At 43.7% G+C, this 22,582-nt stretch overlaps 1 protein-coding gene across 23 annotated transcripts in view, besides 3 other annotated features; it reads right to left on the reverse strand.

The window, feature by feature from the left end:
* The window catches only part of SLC35D4 (solute carrier family 35 member D4), a 199,440-nt gene that overhangs the window by 62,138 nt on the left and 114,720 nt on the right, over positions 1-22,582 (reverse strand). For all 23 annotated transcript variants that reach the window (NR_148382.2, XR_001753290.3, NR_148384.2 and 20 more), the window contains one exon: positions 9,021-9,085. Coding sequence is in view for 14 of the 23 variants with exons in the window: in XM_047437896.1 (XP_047293852.1) it covers positions 9,021-9,085 (65 nt within the window). In the remaining 9 variants the exon portion in view is untranslated. The remainder of the gene's footprint in view (positions 1-9,020; positions 9,086-22,582) is intronic.
* Positions 1,738-2,628: an enhancer, noted in NCBI's record as "H3K27ac-H3K4me1 hESC enhancer chr18:20882361-20883251 (GRCh37/hg19 assembly coordinates)". NCBI's record gives its function as "activates a minimal SCP1, AML or CMV promoter by ChIP-STARR-seq in naive H9 embryonic stem cells {active_cell/tissue: H9 hESC(naive)}" and the evidence as "EXISTENCE:reporter gene assay evidence [ECO:0000049][PMID:30033119]".
* Positions 6,826-7,327: an enhancer, noted in NCBI's record as "H3K4me1 hESC enhancer chr18:20887449-20887950 (GRCh37/hg19 assembly coordinates)". NCBI's record gives its function as "activates a minimal SCP1, AML or CMV promoter by ChIP-STARR-seq in primed H9 embryonic stem cells {active_cell/tissue: H9 hESC(primed)}" and the evidence as "EXISTENCE:reporter gene assay evidence [ECO:0000049][PMID:30033119]".
* Positions 7,328-7,827: an enhancer, noted in NCBI's record as "H3K4me1 hESC enhancer chr18:20887951-20888450 (GRCh37/hg19 assembly coordinates)". NCBI's record gives its function as "activates a minimal SCP1, AML or CMV promoter by ChIP-STARR-seq in primed H9 embryonic stem cells {active_cell/tissue: H9 hESC(primed)}" and the evidence as "EXISTENCE:reporter gene assay evidence [ECO:0000049][PMID:30033119]".

Genomic DNA, 22,582 nt, shown 5'->3' on the forward strand with positions numbered 1-22,582 from the left:
GGCTGACATGGGTCCAGGAATCTTAATAGCATTACAACTATTTAAGTCAGAGCTTGACTGAACTGTTTGCAAATCTTGTAATCCCCATCATTCCTGAAATGAACAAACTTCATGTAACCAAGGCATAAACATCAGATTGCAGGGCACACATGGCCAGAAATATCCATCACTAGCTTCTCTTCCAGAGGTTTATTTTCAGCACTTCTCCAGCCCTTCTCTTTCTCCTATGAGGGACCGAAGCCTCCATCTAAATTTTACATTTATTATTGTGGCTATTCAATTAATTCCTGTTGAGCTAGTAGACAGAGGATGGAGGCTGCATCCTTTACCTGGCTGCAGGCCCTGCGCCTAATGCAGCACTCAATAAATACCGATTCAATGAATAGTTAAACTGTTAATATTTTATCCCCTTTCTGCCACCTATGTAGATGGGAGAAGTCCCAAACTATTTGGTCTAAAAATAATTTGGTCCTAAACTATTTTTTCCTTTTTCTCTCTTCCTCACCGCAATGTGTCTGTCCCATGCTCCATTCCTTGGGGCTCTGCCGAGTGAGTTCATAATCTATTAAATTATGATAAAATTTGAGAGGTAATCAGCAACGTTATTGAGAAGGCCCTTCTTACGTAGAATTTTAAAGAGGAGGTTTCAGATTTTTAATTCAAATGGAGAACTCATAAATTTCAGACACTGTGATCCTGAAGGCATTTTGGAGTGTGATGGGGGGACGTTTTCTTTGCCCCTAAATTCATTCTTTCTATACATAGGTTTGGGCAGCCTCCGTGAAGTTCCTTAAAATTAAAGGGATAAGAAATCTTTACTCAAAGATTATATACGATCATTTTCTAAAGACCCTCAGTGTTGGTGAGGTTTGTGCTAGGCTCAAGTTCAAGTGATCCTCATGGCTGATAAACAGCGATCAATGGCAAGTTCAGTGAATGATGTGCGAAGGGAAAAATGTGATCATGGAATCCTTAGAACAAAGAAGTTGCATTTTGGTTATTCTTTTCTTTCCTTGTGCTTAAACTATTCCAAAGAGAAGGGTGACTCTCCCCATCTATAAAACGGGAGAGGAGAGGAGTCACCATAATTAATTCCACTTGACAAGGATACCGCTCTCAGGTCAGTATCTTTCTCTTTTGTATGCTTCAAATCTCCTTTGCTGAATTTTGAAATAGAGGGAATTAATATTACTATAAAACTGTTAATTAAAAATGAACAATTAAATAGAAATCTGGATATTTAAATTACTGGGCTTGAAATAGATTGTTTTCATAATAATTGGCTGGATGACAGCAGTTGTTTTTAATTAAAGACTTTAAAAATATTGAGTACTTCGGTTTATAATTGTTCTTGGATACAATATTTTGAAGGCTGGCCACTCAGTGTTGATTCAGCAAGTATTCAACACTAGGCCTAGAGATGCAAAGGTGAATGAAACACACCCTTTCTCCTAGAGCTGCTCACAGCCTGGTGGGAGAGATGGCGCCAGCCACCTGTCACTCGCCAGCCACCTGTGCAGCAAGTGCCTACGGAGCCAGACACAGACACAGAGGGGATGGGAGGAGCAGCTGAGGACCTGACACTTGAGCTGATCCAAAGCTCTCATTCGATGAGCAAGTTCCTTAAGATCTTGCTGAAATTTCAAATGGAATTTTCTCCACTAGCCCCCATGAACTTTAGACCAGTGATTCTCAACTGGGGTGGGACTTTTGGCAATGTCGGGGATGTTTTTCATTGTTACAATTGAGGGGGTGCTACCGGCATCTAGCGAGTGGGGTTCAGGTTTGCTGCTAGACATCCTACAAGGCACAGAACAACCCCTCAAAACAAGGAATTATCAGTCCCAAATATTAATAGTGCTTTGGGTGAGAAGCCCTACTTCAGATGGCCTACTTTGTGTAGCTAAGCTGTTGTCCATCCAAGGAGGAGGATAATGACATATATATTTGAACACTTATCCCCTACATGGTGATCTCCCTGGAGTCAGGGAATGTGCCTTGCTTCCTTCTGTAGTCTCAGAGCCCAGCCCAGCCCTTTGGTGGAATGCACGAATATACAAATATATGGATGCAAGGCTACTGGCTGGAGCAGGGTCCTCCAGTCTCAGCCAGCCAGGGTGGTGGAGGCCATGGTGGATTGGAGACCACACGCCAACGTGAAGAGGCAGCCTCTATTCATTCCAGCAACTGCTGCTGTGTGCAAATGCAGGCCCAACATTAACAGCTGCTCCACATTTTCAAAAGAATCTGGAAATCTGGATTTGTATGAGGAAATCACCCGATTTCAAAATGGTGATGACTAACTTAAAACTTGAAAAGCAAATGAGAAGAAATAGTAACTATACCAGCACACACAATAGGTCCAAACAAAATAGGCCTGCAGCCTCTGCCCTTTGTGACTTCTGATCAGTTTAAAGTCCCATGCCACAGGGATCAGCCACCGCCCCTGCCTGGGCTCTGAGAGCTGGTCACCCAGCCACGCTTGAACACGCCTAGTATATGGACAAGGCAGAACAGCTCTGTGCAAGACACAGAGCTGAAGCACAGTCCACTCTTCTGGTGGTTCACTTTGTGGTTGGAAAATTCCTTCAGGCTGAAAACACACCATCTTTAACCTCAGGAGTCCTCAAAAATCAGGAAATTCCAAAGTCAAGGTTCCTTTTGCAATAATCACACATTCTGTTTCCTTAATTTGCGAACACACAGCCTTTCTTTCCATTTTTCTCAGGGCATACCATAAAGTTCACAGGATGTGAAACAGCCCAGAGACAGCCTCTTACAGACGCCTGCTTCCTTACTATTCCGACTCAGCATTTCCTCACACTGGAGAGCTGTCTTACTCTTAGCTCTCACGTTCAGTTCAATACCTGGGTTTCTTTGGCTCATTTTGAAATTCTGTACAAAATGTGGTCAATGCAGGCTTACTTGTAAGAGAGAAAGATATTGTCAAGAATTTAGGGGCTGGGCGCAGTGGCTCACGCCTGTAATCCCAGCACTTTGGGAGGCTGAGGTGGGCGGATCACTTGAGGCCAGGAGTTCGAGACCAGCCTGGCCAACATGGCAAAACCTGGTCTCTCCTAAAAATACAAAAATTAGTCGGGCATGGTGGCGTGTGCCTGTAATCCCAGCCATTTGGGAAGCTGAGGCATGAGAATTGCTTGAACCCAGGGAGATGGAGGTTCCAGTGAGCTGAGATCGCGCCACTGCACTTCAGCCTGGGCGACAGAGCAAAACTCTATCTCCAGGAAAAAAAAAAAAAAAAGAATTTAGGCTAGTCTGGGAGTGGTGGCTCCCTCCTGCAATCTCAGCACTTTGGGAGGCTGAGGCTGGAGGACTGCTTGAGGCCAGGAGTTTGAGATCAGCCTGGGCAACATAGAGAGGCCCTGTGTTTAAATTAAAAAAAAAAAAAAATCATCCTGGCTAACACGGTGAAACCTCGTCTCTATTAAAAAAATAAAATACAAAAAATTAGCCAGGCACGGTGGCGGGCACCTGTGGTCCCAGCTACTTGGCAGGCTGAGGCAGGAGAATGGTGTGAACCCAGGAGGCGGAGCTTGCAGTGAGCCGAGATTGCGCCACTGCACTCCAGCCTGGGTGACAGAGTGAGACTCCGTATCAAAAAAAAAAAAAAAAAATTAAAGAATTTAGATAAACACTATGAAAGTTAAGGATACAGAAATTTGGGGAAAAGTCTCAAGAATTTATATATATATATATTTATATAACATATCATTATATATAATTATATATAATTCATATAATAAAATGTAATATAATAAAATATATATAATTCTTGTTATATAATAACATGTAAAACAAGAATTATATATAAATGACATTATATATCTATCAATTATATATAACATATATATAAAATACATATATTCTCTTTATATATAGAAAGAGAGAGAGGGAGAGAGAGACGCATGTACACATATACATATCTCAGGATATAAAGGTTTCTTCTCTGGGCAGCTGGATTTTGGGATGTCAACCTGCCTACCATTTGTGTCACCCCTCCCCAGAAGGACAGGTGCAGAGGAAGAGGGGGGAGGAAGATTAGCTCCCTGCTTCAGAGCCCCAGTTCTGGTTACAAATCACTAAGTCTCCACTGGCTGCCCTGTCTTCCCAGGTGAGAGGGGTCCAGTCCTCTTCCATCCCCCAACTCTCAGCCCAGCTAAGCCTCTTCCTCTGCATAAGGCCCAGTTCACACCAGCTCCAGGGGCATCTTCCAAACACTCCTGGCCTCTCTCCCTTCTTCAGTCTTCTTATTCACTGGGCATTAACACAGTTACTATCTGATCCATCCAATGAATTAGCTTTCTGATTTGCCCTTCCTTTGATAACCCCTTAAATGTTGGATATCTTATATTTCTTAATGGTTTCCACATACTGTGCATACAGCAGTCACTCAATAAAGATGTTTAACTGATTGATATTATGGAATTATAGCTATGGTATAAAAAACCTATGACAATGAGATTTTCCTCCCTAAAAATGTCTACTGGACATTCTTAGTCTGCAGGTCAGTTCCTGAACAGGAATTAGGACTGTCTTGTCCTGGGTGACGCTCTGTTTGTTTCCTCTGCTGTCAAATTATCTACATACTCTTTAGGGAGGATCACAGTGGTGGGACAAGGAACATTTAAGCCATTTTCCCTTATAACTCCCTCATGAGCTTCCGCCTGTACATTATCTACACTGCTGTAAATCCTTGGTGTTTTTCAATTCAGTTCTAGCAGGTTACAGGGCTTTGTACACACAGACCTGGGTTTGAAACCTGGTCCAACTGCCTAGTAGCTATAAAATCTTGGGAAAATAAGCATCTCTGGACCTCAGCTTCTTCATCTTTAAAATATGGATGACTTGGAAGAGTGTTATAAAAGTAAATGAGATAATATTAATGTAAGAAATGTCTGAGGCACAGTAGTTGCCCAATAAATGGTTATTATTATTAAAAAGAAGAGGAAGACATAGCAGGAGGAGGAAGAGGAAGGTGTAGGAACATTTCCTAATTTTTCCTTCCATTTGTCTTCTTGGGGCAGGAAATGCCCCCACTGGCGCTCCTGAGAAAGGTTGGAAATCCCATTTTCTGAGTGCAGTGAGCAAAACCATTCATTTCTGTCCATCTAGGATGATTTAGATATGGACCTGCCCTCAGGCAGGGCAATGAGCATCTATAGACACTGCAGAGGCAGTGATTTTTGACTTTTATCCAAGAATGGTTCCTGGCACATATGAGGCACTTGGTAAATGTCTGTTTATTGAAGGAACCCCTTCCAGCCCAAAGCCACACAAGATGCACGGTTACCTTTTAGACTCCCCATCATGGTATTCCACAGGGCCACTGGTGCTGCCCCTCACATTTATCCCATATGAATCTCCTACCGATGTTCAAAAATAACACTGTTGTTTCTGGGCTATGTCAGCATCCAAGGCCACCTGGGAGATGGGAGGCTGTCCTGGGCACACCTGGGTACCAGTGCTGACTCCCACCAGCCAGCATGGTGGTCCTTGACTTAAGCAAGTGACAACTCAGCAGGTCCAACTTGCAAACAAATGCAAAAAAAAAAAGAAGAAGGAAGGGGAAAGATCAGCTATTAGGACTACTCTGATTGCAGGCATGGAAAAAAATACTTACTTTCTTCTTCTTATTTTTTTTTTGAGATGGAGTTTTGCTCTTGTTTCCCAGGCTGGAGTGCAATGGCGCGATCTCGGCTCACTGCAACCTCCACCTCCCGGGTTCAAGCGATTCTCCTGCCTCAGCCTCCCTAGTAGCTGGGATTACAGGCATGCGCCATCACACCTGGCTAATTTTGTATTTTTAGTAGAGACAGGGTTTCTCCATGTTGGTCAGGCTGGTCTCGAACTCCCGACCTCAGGTGATCCACCCGCCTCGGCCTCCCAAAGTGCTAGGATTACAGGCGTGAGCCACTGCGCCCAGCTAAAATACTTATTTTCTAGAGTCAGGCATTATTTGAGCAAAGCTAAGCAATACTATGCTTTTTCTTTCCTGATAATACTGGTAAAGAAATGTAAAAACCCATTCCAAAATTTGCCTGCACTTCAATTTTATAGTGCTATTCCATGGGGGGGAAAAATCTGCCAAGTAATATATAGGAACTAGAATAGAAATAAGCATGATCTTAAAGTGGTCCTAGGCTTCTTTTCCTTTTTAAAACAAAGGACAGAAGACCAGTGAGCAGCAACAACAAATGTGAATTTTTCTACATAATGTGCAGCATCCAGGATTGAGGCCAGGCTGCCCCTGGTCACAGGGAAGGAAACAAAACTTTGTCACCAGCCCAAGAAATAGACTATTTATGTGTGATGTGTGTGAGGGCTGCTCAGTGTGGTTTCATTTCAGAAACACTGTTGTGGCTAGGCCCCCAGATCTAACACCTCCTACAGTGAACAGAGTCCACCTCCGTTGGGTTACACATGCCTGGCCAAATGCAGCACTGTTCTCACCCTTCAACCGAACCGTAGTGACGTCTGGCAAGAGGAGTTTGAGGGAGTGAAGGATGAGCGACTTTCGCTTTTTACTTGATATATTTCTGTATTGTTTTAAATGTCTTATAAATAGCATGCATTACTCTATTGCTTAAAAATACATACATATATATTCCCCAAATTAAAGCATGCCTATTCATCAGCAATGAGCTGTTTTAACCGTTTAAACTCTCCATTACTTCCTCCCTCACCTTCGCCTTCCCTGCAGACCACAACCCAAATCCTTGGTAACAATCACCTATTGGTTTGAATAGTAGTAATCAGAATAGATAACATTCTTAACTCTCCAATGGGCAGGACTTGTGTAGAGAGTTCAGGGGTGAAACCCACCCGATCGCTTCATTCTTGTCCTCATGTGGTCATAGCCAACTGGCCCTTGAACGAGAGGCACATGGTCCTAATAAGTTCAGAAGGCCTGTTTCCTGTCTCAGATGAGAGCTCCGAGGCCTGAGCGGAGGGCGAGCCCGGGGCGCTGGTCACAGCTGGGTCCTCTCCGACAGTAGTACTTTCTCTGTGCATCCCTGTGTTACTCATGGCCCAAACCTCCCTTGTGAGTCACGGGCTCTGAGGGCTATGGGGCAGGGCAGTGTGGCCTTTTCCAGGAGGTGTGTCCTGAAGCTACCATCACAACGGCCACACCTACCTCCTGGGACTCTGAGTCCCCACTGTGTCTCCCCACAGCCATGCCCCTGCCTCAGCCATCCTTCTGAAGAACCCACCTGTCCCCATCTGCCCTGCTCAGCCATCCTTCTGAAGAGCCTGCCTGTCCCGGTCTGCCCTGCTGAACACCACCCCACACCCAACTGTCTCCTGCATACCCCCAGGGTCCTGCGCACTGCTTCTGGGAGGGAGGCAGACCCTAATGGGCAGAAAGGAATGAATCTGGTCACAACAGTCAGAACTGTCAGGGAGGAAATTAGCAAGGCGACAGGAAAAAGCTAGCAGGGCTTGCACAGGATGTGGCCAGGGAAGCCTCTCTGAGGTCACCTCGATTTGAAGGCCTGGGGGATGAGCAGTAGTGGCCAACTGAAAGCAGGGAGGAAGGCATCCGGGCCGAAGTGACAGGCCCAGAAGCCCTGAGGAGACACATGTGTGCCATGGCCAAGGCACAGAAAGGCTCTCCCCTCCCCAGATCCGCAGGCTGATTTGGCGAACGATCTATTCCTGTATCTCCACTCTGTGGTCCAACAGGCACCTCAGCCTTCATACATTCAAACCAATGCCCAGTACGCCTCCACCACCACCTTGCCAAACCCTGCTCTTCACACAACATTCTCCATCTCAGTAAAGGCAACCTCATTCTTTCATTGCTCGGAACCCAAACCTAGAAGTCATCCTAGACTCCCCTCTCTCAAATCCTAGTGCCTCAGATATCCTACCATGTCTCCCCACCTCCACTGCTATCAGCCAGTTCTCAGCCATCATCATCTTGCACCTAGATCATGGCAAGAGCCCCTGGTCTTCTTGCTTCCTCCCCACCCCTTGGCACCGTTGTCCCCCAGCATCCCCATGGCTCACTCCCTCACTTCCTTCTGGTCTCTGCTCAGACAGCTTAGTGAGGCATGCTGTCTTTATGCAAATGGGTAGTGCATTCTAAACAGGATCATTTGGAGCTTATCTGAAAGTTAATGGAAAAATCAAAGAAATGGAAAGACACCCAAACACAGCACGTGTTTTCTCTCTCTCTCTCTCTCTCTCTCTCTCTGTGTGTGTGTGTGTGTGTGTGTGTATACAGTTGCCCCTCAGTACCTAAAGGGGATCTGTTCCAGGACGTCCATGGGTTGTCAAGTCTCTTATATAAAATGGTGTCGTGTTTGCCTACAACCCATGCACATCCTCCTGTATATTTTAAATCATCTCTAGATTACTTGTAATATCAAATACAATGTAAATGCTATGTAAATAGTTGTTATACTGTACTGTTTAGGAAATAATAACAAGAAAAAAAGTCTGTACATGTTCAGTACAGATGCAACCATTGCAGGCCTAAACTGCATTGTTGACCCACAGTTGGTTTAATCTGAGGATCTGGAACCTGTTCATGCAAAGGGCTGATTGTGTGTGTGTGTGTGTGTGTGTGTGTGTGTGTGTATAGTGGTTTACTAAACATTACATATTATTATACATATTATATTATACATATTATGCATATACATACATATATATACACATAGTGGTTGACCAGCAGTGGCTGCCCTGGGGTGGAGGAGTGAGGGTGATGTTCTGTTTCTTGCTCTGGATGCTGGTTATGGTATACAGAATGGTTGGTTTGTACAAATCCATCAAGTAGTATATTTATGATATATGCACTCTTCCCAATTTGTATTTACAGGTCAATACAAGTTTTTTTTTTTTTAAAGAAAGCTTCGCTAATATGAGATTTGCATTTGGATGGAGATACACAGCCAACGCACACTCCCTTTCTGCAACATTTGAGAGCAAAATTTAGTATCCTGATGAAACTCAGTAACTAATTGGCACTTTATCTCTCTATGCAAAAGACTTACCATCCCGTGGTTGCACTGGTCAGGATCGCATCAAACAGCAATATTGATAAGCCAGCTGTGATTATCTGTAGAAATAATTTCAACACAAGGTCATCATACCAGCAGGGCTCTGGAAACCTCCAATGTCATTTTTTTCACAAGCTTAGCTCACTTGAGTTCGGATGCCTGCCATCAGGCACTTCGTTCCACTTCCCGTGTCCTTTTCCCCACACGCTTCCTAGTCAGCCCCCTGTACTTAGCGGTGCCTCTGAGCCAAGCATTTGGTGTAGAAAAGGCTAAGTCTTAGTCTGTTTTGGAGGTGAGAATGTTCAAAGAAGCATTTAACTTCCAAATTCTTCAAAAGGGAGGCGCACAGCCAAGGCCGCCCTCATCTCTCTCCAGGGAAGGGGTATATTAAGAAAACTCATTTCCATTTTGTCTCAGCAGTGCAGAACTCGTCTCCAAGGTCAGATGTGCTCATTAACCTGTTCTCGGATCCTCCAGATAAAAACTTATCTGTCACCCAGCCTTTGTCCAATGCACCATCTCTCCGTCCTCACCTAATGCTCCCATCTTTCTGATCCATGACACATTCTAAGAAACCAGGTGCATCCTGGGGAAAGGAGTGATTAAATCATTAATTAATTATTTGCAAATATCTAGAAGCCAGAGGAGAGGGAAGAGGTTACCTCCACATCTCTCAAGGCTGGAAATTCCAGAAAGGTGTCTCAGGAATGGCAGCCACAGGACTCAGACCCCAGAAGTGCCTCGAACCCCCCAGCACCAAGAGAGTGTGTGAACCAGTGGCCCCGCTCTGTCCACACTTGGAATGTCTGCTTAAGGAAAGATGTTTCTGGCTTCCAGTCTTCCACATCCTGCAGGTCAAAACAGCTTCCATGGGGAAGGTAAGCTTAAGAAACTGCTTTCTTGCAGTGAGAGGTGGGATGTAGGCCAGGTTGGGAGAGGTTCAGCTACCATCTCCCTCAAGGGGATTTCATGTGCTGTCTTGGAGGCCTCTTTGGGTCTCCAAGCTGGGAGCAAGGCAGCAGACAGACAAGCAGAAGGAAGGAGTATGTTTATGAACCTCATCGTCACGCATTACCATCTCAGAAAGAAGTCTGGAACTACAAATACAGAATTCTCATGATAGGATATAAACATGGTGAGATTTTGGAACTTTTCTTTGTAGTTAAGTCATTTGGTATCACTTTCTGCCTCGCTTTATTGATTTGTAGCAAAAACCTTGATTACAAAAAAAGACCTGGGTATTGTCCTCAGGGGCAATAAAGAAGTAGAAGCCCAGCCAGACAGACAATTACAAGAATACAAAGGATAGGGAAAGAGATTTCTCTAAGTGGAGACTAGTGGTGGCTTTTTCTCAAAGATCATATTGAATGACAACTTTTGAGCTGATGCGCATGATGAATGTCCCTCTTTTCTCTTCCCTTTTTTTTTTTTTTTGAGACAGGGTCTCGCTTTGTCGCCCAGGCTGGAGTGCAGTGGCGTGATCTCAGCTCACTGTAGCCTCGACCTCCCAGGACTCAAGCACTCCTCCCGAGTAGCTGGGCCTATAGGCATACACTGCCACACCCAGCTAATTTTTAATATTTGTTTGTAGAGACAACGTCTCACTTTGTTGCCCAGGCTGGTCTTGAACTCCTGGGCTCAAGCAATCCCACCCGCCTTGGCCTCCCAAAGTGCTGGAATTATAGGCGTGAGCCACCGTGCCTGGCCCTTCTTTTTTTTTTTTTTATTAACATTTAATTTAGGACTTCTGCATCTATGGTCATAAATGAAGTGGACTAAAATGTTATTACCTCTCAATGCAATTGTCTGGTCTTGGAAACAATGTTGTACTAACCACATAAGTGAGTTCATCAGCTTCTCTGCTTATTATCCTGCAACAGTTATAGATGATCTTGACTCTGAAAGTTACCCGTGACTTGAAGGCCCCTGGATCTAGATCTCCTAGCTGGGGGTGATCTTTAATAGCTATTAGCCTAATCAAGTCTTCTCTTTCTCATTGTTGCATATTTTCCATTTTCACTTTTCCTCAAAATGTATTTCATCTAGGTCTCCCAATTCATTAATATTTAGCTGTTTGAAGAAATATTTTACATTGTTTGTGCCTGTTTGATTACCTTCCTTTTTTGTAATGTTTCTCTTCATTCCCCCCACCCCCTTCATTAGTCTTGACTGAAGTTAACTATGTTGTTAGTCATTCTTTCCTTTTGCAACTTCTTAGACATGGCCTGGGACGGTGCCAATGGAGATGTATTTCTTGGACTTGCTGAGAAAGGCTCCATCCCACTGATGGATGTTGGCTGTGCTGGCAGCTCCGCATAATGGAACACTTCGCTTGATTTATAAAGGACCCAACTTGTCATTTCTATGTCCTCACCATTGTCTTTATTGTCCTTGCCTGTTTTTACCCGCTGTTCAAGGCCTTCTTTGATTGGCTTCTCTCCTTGTTCTCTGACTGCCTAACTCAGGTGACTTTCAGTCCAGCTGGTAAAAAGGGACAACTGCCCTGTCCCCCACCATACCCACAGCCTGGGATTTGTGCCTCTGCTCCTCCGTGAGCCTCTTTAGCTTAGGAGGAATCCTGTCTGCCGTGAGATAGATAGCTGGTCTGCTCATTCCTCTGAAATGCACCTTTTGCCAAAAAAAACACATCTTAAAAATTTTAAACCAGCCCTTACTTGAAAAGAAGGTTGGTTTAGCAGCCACTCCGGTGCCTTCGCCGTCTGCCACTTCCTGGAAATGTTTGTATAGTCTCCTGCCTTCTCCTGAGTCACCTTTCCAAAATTCAAAATTCTCAAGTTTTATCACCTAAGGAACAAGTGTGCTGCTGCCTGAGACCCTTTATCTTATTTCTGTAGAGAATGTAGACTGAAGTTGTTTGCACCGTGGGACAACTGTGGGGTTGGACGGGCCCATTTTTAATCTATTCGGTACAGGCAAGACTCCTCTGAAAGGATGATGTGTTCTCTCCCCAGCACGTGGTTTCTACGTGCGTGATGCCCCACTACTGTCCTATTAATCAGTGATCTGTTTACAAGCCTATCTCCCCTCTCTGCATTGTGAACTCTTAAGGTCAAAGACTTGGAAGCCATCCCAGGACCAAGGTCAGTGCCGCAGAGCCTGGCTCAGTCACATTCGACAAAGGGTGGAAAGAACCTGAGCCAACCGGGCGCGGTGGCTCATGCCTGTAATCCCAGCACTTTGGGAGGCCAAGACGGGCGGATCACGAGGTCAGGAGATCAAGACCATCCTGGCTAACATGGTGAAACCCCGTCTCTACTAAAAATACAAAAAATTAGCCAGGCGTGATGGCGGGCGCCTGCAGTCCCAGCTACTAGGGAGGCTGAGGCAGGAGAATCGCTGGAACCCGGGAGAGGGAGCATGCAGTGAGCCGAGATCACGCCACTGCACTCCAGCCTATGTGACAGAGCGAGACTACATCTCAAAAAAAAAAAAAAAAAAAAAAAAAAAAAAAGAACCTGAGCCTCTGATCCTCCCTGGAGGGCACATGAACATGCAACAGGCTTGGTACTGGCTTCCTTTTTGCTCACTTGGAAAGTCAGCACAGGGGAAGAGGCTCCTCATGTGCTTGAAAGCTTAAAATTTGCTCTGAGACATGTAGGAACATGTAGTGTCAGCACACAAAACAAAATCTTTTATCATTAAGCCCAAAACAAGCATTTAAAAGCAAAGGGGTAAAATAGGGAAAAGAAAAAAAAAAAGGAGCCCCCTGTGACTCTGGAGCACTTGGAGGCTTACAAAGGAATGCACTGGTGTGAGTGTGTGACAAGAAGCAAAACTTTAATTCCTGACTTCCAGCTCCTGGGTGACAAGGTCATCCAGGATGATCAGTAATTCTACTAAAAACACACAGGTGTGAAATCTACCCAGTTTTCACTTCCTGCCTAGCCCTTGAAGAGCATCATTGCCACCTCCCCATCATTTGCTGAGCACTAGTTGTGGGAATGCATTGCTTTTCCCATTTGTACCAGGGGCTTCCTGAGTGATCCACCTGGTGGTGGGACCTAGAGCACAGGGCCCCCAGGTATTAGCACTGAGGATGGAACCACTGAAGCTGCCTCTTCGCTCCCCTCCTCTCTCACTGCACCCCAACCACCCAAGGCCACACAGTCCACTGAGTGGAACCTTGCTTTGGTCCTGACTCTCAAGCCACACCAGTCTCCCTCTTTGTGCTCCACACTTGACTCTGATCTCCAACCCAGGGAAGGGAGCTTTCTAGGCTGCCTGGCTCTGGCCAGACCTTGGCCTTATGACTAGAACCTTGACTGACGCCCCACAGAACTAGGACTAATAATCCAGAAGGACTCTCCACTGAGTACTGACCATTGCCTGGATTTCCAGCCCTGTGTCCGATCTTCCAGGTTTAGAACTTAACTATGATGCTCCAGCGGACACTACACACAGCACCCACCAGCTGCACCTTCAGAGCTCCAGAGCCAGCCTCCACAAGAATAGCCTCTTAGGCTTGGACACACCTTGGAGTGACAGTCTCCCAAATTCTAGCCATCCTTGCCTTCCTCTTCAGAAATGCGTGCAAAAGGCCTCATGCTCCAAGGCTTTAGGTGTCATGTCACTTGCTCCACAGTTAATCAGTGGATTGGTCTCCTGTTGCATCAAGCAATCCTTTCCTCTAAGTAACAGAAATCGATCCCAGTGCATCTCACTGTGTGGTCATGGGATAAAACCAAGCTCCCAGTATTCCAGGGCTGAGAGTCATGCTCCAGATGTTAACAAGCCTACTGCAATGTGCTTACCCTGGGGGGGGCTACTAAGTGCTCTGACACCACCTTCAATGAGATAATATTCACCAAAGAACAAGAGTCTTTCTCATACATTACATTTTGTACTCCAAAAATGTTAGTAAAAGCATAAACATTTTTGAAAAACCCTCTTGAAATGACTAAAATCTGCCCATGAGAAAACTTTCAATTTACTCTTGCAACTAGCCATTCAAGAAGACCTAAGAAATAGTCATCACCTGTACTATCAATTGGTGTACTTGCTTATAAAAAGCACTTTAAAAAACAGATTTTTCCCAAAGAAGAAAGAGTCTTGTCATCTGAGGAATGTCTCCTTCTCACACACAGACCCGAATAACAAACCCCAGGACCTGCCACAGGCAGAGGGGTGCCAACAACAGCAGAACTCAATACGAGGTGTCAGCCGCAGGGCTTTGAACTTCCTAGCTTTGTCAACGGCTGGCACAACCTCTGTGTTATTTAAACAGATTTTGGTATTTAAAGCAGATCAGGTTTGTTTTTCAAACATTCATTTCAATCCTGAGACAAATTTTCCATTTAAGGGGAAAATGGTGGTGGTGGTGGGGGGTGTTGTAAGTAGGAACCTGCCAGATTATCAGGTATTTGGGAGACAATCAGAGACTTAGGTTTATTGTTCTATTGGTTTTTAAATGCATATGACTCTTAAGAAAAAAGTGATGCATACAAGACTCTCCCTTGCCTGCTTCTTCAGCCCAGTTACAGCCATGTACCTCCCTTTTAAAGGGGTTGCAATTTTTCAAACACAGTTTCCTACCATCATCTTGCTTTTGCTCAGCAAGTTCTCTCTGCCTGGAAACATTTCATAGGTCTGCCGATATAGCCGACATAATTCCTACTCACCATTCAAAAATCCATCTTGAGAAAACTTTTACTGAACTTGGCCCCCGTCCGCACACCCAACTGGATCAAGCACTTCCTCTCAAGGCTCCCACAACCCCTTGCCATCGCACATGCCAAACCCTATTTGCAATATGTGGTCTTCTCCCAATCAGGGCATGTGCTATTCATCTTTGAACGTTCAGGGGCTAGCAATAGAGACTTGCATGTGATAAGGGCCTGATAACAGTTTCTGCACCAGATAATCAGAGCTGGTAATATAACCTTTAAGGTCACAATGCTGTTTTGTTTTGTTGTTTAATCCTTTTTCATATATTTGGGAAAACTGGAACCAAGGACTTGAGAACCACTGGGACATTCTCTCTACCCCTTATCCTTGACCAGTTCCCTCCACAGAGTTAGAAAGAGCCTCACAGAGCGGATCTAAGCCTAGATCTCTCTGGATTCTAGTCCCAAAATGCCAGGGACGATTCTAATTGGCTCCTGGACCAACTGACTGGGGCCTGGGAGGCAGAGTCATATAAGAATAAGGAAGCTCACTCAGGAACTTCATGGTTGGAAGAAGGAAGGAACATTTTATTGGAGGAAGGTATGGGAAGTGCTGGCAGGCAGAACAACAGGTACTTTCTTCTATCTGCCATGCAAAGTGTGGTCACAGACAAGCAGCATCAGCAACACCTGGGAGCTTGCGCGAAATGCAGAATCTCAGGTTCCACCCCTGACCTACTAAACAGCATCTGCACTGGCACAAATGCCCAGGTGATATGCATACACGTTAACATGTGAGAGTTCTCTTCTATACCCTCCAACTCCAGCCACAAGGCTCCAGAATGACTTCCTCCAGCTGGTGTACAAACACGCTGCACTGCTACCTCTCCAGGGACGGGCGGACTCCAGCTCTCCCACAGGCCACAGAGTTGGAGGTGTATTTCAGACAGTCTTGGAGTCTGTCTGTGTTGCAGACTCACATATGAATGTTACCAACCTGGTCTTCCTTCCAGGTTAAAGAGTAAATCTAATATAAAATTTATCATCTGAGAGCAGGCTCTTTTTCTCCTAGAACCCATAGAACTATTCCAAGTCCACTAGATAGAAATCACAGCCTATACTCATAACTCTATTCGGCATTAAAAAATTTCAATTAACCGTTATTACCCATCCTATGATTTATTACCACAATCAGGGTAATTATTAACAAGGGACAACTCATGTTAAACTCCAGGCATGGCTATTAACAGTATTTAATATTGCCTCATCAAAATATATGAACCATTAATCTTGCCAGATATCAGAACAACATTTATTATAAGCACAATGGGATTGAGAACACAGATGAGGAACAAAAGGAGATTAGGTTCATGTGAAGGAAGGATAAATTTTAAACCTAGAGAAATCTTAGGTGACTTTTAACAAACTCCTACATCTTATAGAAGCATCAACAAGAGAATTAAACTAGAAAACTGTGACACGAGTATCTAGTTCATGAAAGATAAGGGAAGAAAGTAACCAAAATGTGATGAGGGCATAAAATGTCCCAGACACCAGGCTCTGCTGTGTCACAGAGAAAATCTCACGTGATCCCTACAACATCCCTGCACAGGAGGCTGCTTGGCCCCATTTCTACAGATGAAGAAACTGAAGCTCACAGAGGAGAACTATCTTGCTCAAAGCATACAGTTTAAACAAAGGAAGAGTTGGAACTAAAACCCAGGTCTCCTGAGTCCTGTGGCACTCTCCTTTCTAACTCCAAGCTAACACTCAACAGTGGCTTTGCTTAATCCTGGCTCAGTAGTTCTCAGCCCTGATGGCACATCCAAAATCCTGGGAGAAGTTACACACACACACACACACACACACACACCCCACTAATATCCTGTTCCATATCAACCAAATAAAAATTTCTTGGACTGAAGCCCAGGATTTAGCATTTTTAAAAAGATCCCCTTGTAATTCTCATAGGAAGATAGGATTGAATCTCTGATTATTGCTATGTTCCTAGTTTGAGTAAAAGTATCCACAAAATTGCCAAACATCACAGAACCACTTCATGGCATCAATGAAATAGGCCAGAACCTGGTGAAACAAGGCATCATGATCACTATCTCGATCATCTTATCATCACTGCAGGTATCATGTACTGCACCATTTTACATTTCCACCAGCAGTGTGTGAGGGTTCCAATTTTTTTGTGCAAATATGGAATATTTAATACTTATTGATATATACCATGCACACAGAAATACATGCAAAGAGCACTCACGTAAACCTTAATAAATGATTACAGAGTGAATACATGTATGTAACCAAGGAACAGCATCAGTGTCACTTGTGTCCCCATACAACTACTTTTCTCCCTCCCCTCCAAAGATCTGAAGATCTACCATTGTAGATTAGATATACTTTGTCTTTTTATATGTTTCATTTCTTTTTTTTTTTTCAGACGGAGTCTCGCTCTGTCCCCCAGGCTGCAGTGCAGTGGCCAATGTCTGCTCACTGCAACCTCCGCCTCCACGGTTCAAGCGATTCTTGTGCCTCAGCCTCCTGAGTAGCTGGGATTACCAGCATGCACCACCACACCCAGGTAATTTTTGTATTTTTAGTAGAGACGGTTTCACCATGTTGGCCAGGCTGATCTCGAACTCCTGACCTCAAATGATCCACCCTCCTTGGCCTCCCAAAGTGCTGGGATTACAGGTGCGAGCCACTGTGCCCAACCATATGTGTTTCATTATAGAAAATTTTAAATGTCTACAAAGAAGGTTCCAATTTCTTCACATCCTGGTTATCTTTCTTTTTAATTCTAGCCATACTAGTGGGTGTGAAGGGATACCTCACTGTGGTTTTGGTTTGTATTTCCCTGATGACTAATGACACTAAGCATCTTTTTCCTGGGCTTAGTGGCCAGTTGTTCGTCTTCTTTGGAGAACTGTCTAGATCCCTTGTCCACTTTAAAAATCGGGGTTTTTAAAAATGATGGAGGTATAACAGTTCTTTATATGTTGTAGATATGAGTCCCATATCAGATATATGATTTGTTTGTGGGTTGTCTTTTCACTTTCTTCGTGGTGTCCTTTGCAGCTCAACAGTTTTTAATTTTGATGAAGTTCACTTTATCTAATTTTTCTTTTGTTGCTTATGCTTTTGGTATGTGCCATGGTCATATTTTACATAGCAAGGAATTCTAAGTCACTATTTCAACCAACATCTTAATTAACACTATACACGTATCATATAGATATATCATGGTTTCCTTTTCATAGAGCCATTCATTTATTCTATCTTCAAACATTATATTTTACTTTACAACATGATTTATCCAAATTATGTACTACTGCCCTTGATTTATAATGAGCTTCCAATGTGATGTTAGGAAAAAGTCAATATCATGCTATGTGATATAAACCCATCTATGTGATATGATATGTGATTCAGTAGACATTTGAGGATTAGATCTAATAAGCATGTATTAATATATTTAATAAAGGAGTCTAGAAACCTTATTTAGTAATTCTTCAAATACTTCATAGTAATTTTTTTTTTGAGGTGGAGTCTCACTCTGTCACCCAGGCTGGAGTACTGTAGCACGATCTTGGCTCACTGCAACCTCCGCCTCCTAGGTTCAAGTGATTCTCCTGCCTCAGCCTCCTAAGTAGCTGGGATCACAGGTGCATGCCACCATGCCTGGCTAATTTTTATATTTTTAGTAGAGACAGGGTTTCATCATGTTGGCCAGGCTGGTCTCGACCTCCTGACCTCAAGTGATCCACCCACCTCGGCCTCCCAGAGTGCTGGGATTACAGATGTGAGGCACCGCACCCAACCTTCATAGTAATTTTGAAGAGGTTGGTAACCAGTTACTTTAGAGTCAGAAGGGAATGCAGTGTTGAGATGACCTAATCTCTCCCCTTACTTTATTTCAGTGCTTTATTTATTTATTTATTTATTTATTTATTTATTTATTTATTTAGAGATGGAGTCTCGCTCTGTTGCCCAGGCTGGAGTGCAATAGCACGATCTTGGCTCACTGCAACCTCTGCCTCCTAGGTTCAAATGATTCTCCTGCCTCAGCCTCCCGAGTAGCTGGGATTACAGGTGGCTGCCACCATGCCCAGCTAATGTTTGTATTTTTTGTTGTTGTTGAGATGGAGTTTCGCTCTCGTTGCCCAGGCTGGAGTCCAATGGTGCGATCTTGGCTCACTGCAACCTCTGCCTCCTGGGTTCAAGCAATTCTCCTGCCTCCTGAGTAGCTGGGATTACAGGCGTGCGCCACCATGCCCAGCTAATATTTTGTATTTTTAGTAGAGATGGGGTTTCACCATGTTGGCCAGGCTGGTCTCAAACTCCTGACCTCAGGTGATCCACCTGCCTCGGCCTTCCAAAGTGCTGGGATTACAGGCATGAGCCACCGCGCCCTGCCTATTTCAGCACTGTAAAGATGTCATTTCTGCAGCCAAGGGCCAGATGCATAAAATAAAATAAAGATGTCATTTCATTGTCTATGAGTACTCATTGTTTCAGGTAAAAAGTCAGCCACTGGCTTTGTGGTTGCTTCTTCGATTTAAGGTAATGTCCTTTTTCTCTAGTTGATTTTAAGATTTTTAAATTTATTGTTGGTTTTCAAAGATAAATTTGATAGTTTGAGTAGGATATACCTAAGTATGGTTTTATCTGTATTTTATATGTGGGGTTTGGGAGCTTCTTGAATCCATGGGTTGATGGCAGTGAATAGTTTTACAAAATTCTCAGCCAGCAAAAGCATCCCTTCAAATATTGCTTCTGCCCAATCTCTCTCTCCTGTTCTTCTAGAACTACAATTCCACAAATATTAGATCTTATGAACATTTCCCTCATGTCTCTTATGCTCAGTTCTGCTCTTTCCATCCTTTTTTCCTCTTTGTGTTTCACTTTGAGTATTTTCTACTGACCTTGAGTTCACCAATCCTGCTACATCGTGCCCAGTGGGCTCTTAGACCCATCAGATAAATTATTAATTTCAGATGTATTTTTCAGTTCTGTAATAGCTATTTGATTTTTTAAAAAAACAGATTCTAATCTTGCACTGGATTGTCTCATTATTTTATCCATCTTTTCCTTTATTTTCTTTAACATATTATCCAGTCATTTTTAAGTTATTGCTAACATCATCTGTAGTTCTGTTCCTATTATCTTTCCCCACTTGATTATCAGTTATGCTTTCCTGCCTATTTACATGCCTATGTCTTTGATGACATGCTGGACATAGGTATAGAAGAACTGTAGAAGCTCCAGAGGATAGCTTCTACCAGGAAGCATTCCCCTTTCCCTCTAACAGGGTGATGAGCTCAACCCAACCAGGGATTTACTGACTCAGGAATAGCCTGCAGCTCTAGTAACTTAGTCCACCTCTATTTTATCTAGTCCCTTAGTTGTAAGCCCTCCCAGACTTGTGTTTAAGAGCTTGGTGGATCTCTGCCTCCTCATCCACAAAAGGTCTGCCTTTCAGAGGTTTTGACCTTAGCTTTTTAGCCTCTCATCCATGCAGGTTCAACACGTGGCAACTGTCTTTAGGGGAAGACTTGTGCTTTTGCTGCAGTCTCCTAAATACCCCTAGGCTATGAGAGTTTTCACACCTGCAGCCTCCTGCACCACCCCAGAACTCAGCAAATGCCTCATGGGAAAAACTAGACTTCCTCTGGGGCTATTCTAGCTTCCAGTCCATCAAACCAGGTCAATATGACTGCCTAAACTCTGCTAGTTTCTCTTTCCCTAATATTTCCTCTTTTTGGACCAAGCCAGATCTTTAGCCTACACCCAGAATCAACAACTATCCTCCTCCTTCCTTGCCCTTACCATGAGGAAAACAGCTTGGTTACTCAGTATAGCTAGGAAGGGTTCTTCCCTCTCTGGAAATTTGCTTAACAGCTCTCCAGTTTTCTTAAAAATATGATTTTTGCGATTTATTTATTTTTCCCCTAGTTGTTTCGGTTGAGATACTGGCCTGTCACAAGGTACAACAGTCTACTCTGAAGTAGGTTTCCCTTTTTTTATACGTGCAAAAACAGACCCAGAGAGATGGTCTAAGCTACTGGTTTTCAAACCAGGCTCAGCCAACCACTATTTCCCTAGAGCCACTGGATACCATCATGACACAAAGTGGGGAGTCTTTTTTTTTTTGAGACAGGGTCTTGCTCTGTCGCCCAGGCTGGAGTATAGTGTGCAATCACGGCTCACTGCAGCCTTAACCTCCCAGGCTCAACTGATTCTCCGTCTCAGCCTCCTGAGTAGCTGGGACTACAGGCATGTGCCACCACACCCAGCTAATTTTTGTATATTTTGTAGAGATGGGGTTTCACCATGTTGGCCAGGCTGGCCTTGAACTCCTGGGCTCAAACAACCCATCAGCCATGGCCTCCCAAAGTGCTGCGATTACAGGTGTGAGCCACCACACCTGGCTGGCCTTTTCATTTGTTCTGAACAACTTCCCATTCAGCAACAATTTTATTAACTCATTATGACAATTTTAATTAGCTTAAAAAAATCATAGTCTAGGTTTTTGTATACCCCAGCCTGGGGCAACAGAACTTTATCAAGGGCACACAGCCTTTTTCCCTTCGGATACAGGGTTTCAGATAAAATGTAATTGATGGTAATGACTATGGCAGGCTGGAGGCGAGAGGAATATTCAGCTCCCTCTCCTCACGATTCCTTCTCTGCCCACGGAGGAGGGAACTCTTCTGCCTTCACTTGTATCATTTCAACATCTTCCAAGTTCATTCCAAGGGGAATAATTGTTTATCTGATTGTACATTTATTTTACACTAGTCAGTGAGACTCTAATTTTTTAAAAGCAGGAACCCAGACTCCACACAGTCTCTTCTCTTGAATCTATGCAATAACATTCTCTTGACTCTCCATCTCCACGTGTTGTGGTTTAGGGAGGAGGATGGAAAGGAAGCCGTGCCTTGCATGGGGAGCAGAAAGTCTCTGCTTCCAGCCAGGGTTGAGTGTTTTTGATTTAACTCAACTTTGTTTCCCACTTACTATTCCTTGTCCATATGTTCTCTTGGTTTATATCCCGAGAAAGGAGGTGGAGTGGGCAGTAGAATTCAAGTACCAAAACTCTGAACTCTTTAACAAAGGCATAACTTCAGAAACATGTGGGCCTTTTGGACTTGCAATCTTCCTGGCACAGTTATGCTAAAGGTGTTAGCTCTTCCCTGGGTTGGATGTCCAACTTTTCTCTGGTGCTTACATTTCTGAGAAGGCCATATTCATAGCATGTCTGCTGAAATGGAGTTTCACAGAAACTTTGGAGGACTTCTTCCTCCATCTTTCTCTTTGGGCATTCCACTTCAGCTTGTTCTAAAATACTTGATTGTGTTGTTTCTTTATTTGCTATTATAATTTTCTTTAAATAGATGGGCTATAAATTTACCAAGTATTTCTTCTTTTACAAGTAGTAATAAAAGGCGAAGTAATGTCAACATACTTAGAACACCCAATTGTAGAAGGCAAATGGAGAGTTTGAGACTTCCCTAATTTTCCTTCAAACTCAAATCAGTGACAACCTGGTATGGAGCCTCTTAATTCCCCATTCTAGTACTTTTCACTTCTTGGTTTCATTTAACTTAGTAAATGTACTCTTCTACTGTCCAACATACTTTTAGAATGATAGATTTGTGCCAGTTATTTTTTAAACTTTTGTCCTGCTAGCTAGAAAGTTCTACTAGTCTCCCAAGTTAAGCAGAACTCTGTGCTTGTGGAAAGGAAGGGCATGTGGTTAAGATGTTTTTATTTTCTAAGTTGTTTTGATTTACTCAAAGCACAGATCTAATCTCTGCAGACTATTTTTAGAAATTACATGAATTTAAGCTCAAAGGAGCGTTCAATAAAAGCACCATAATTATGCTTACTCCAAGGCTGTGAGGATTTGTTCATCAA

Source organism: Homo sapiens, chromosome 18, assembly GCF_000001405.40.
Source record: "Homo sapiens chromosome 18, GRCh38.p14 Primary Assembly".
Classification (NCBI taxonomy): Eukaryota; Metazoa; Chordata; class Mammalia; order Primates; family Hominidae; genus Homo; species Homo sapiens.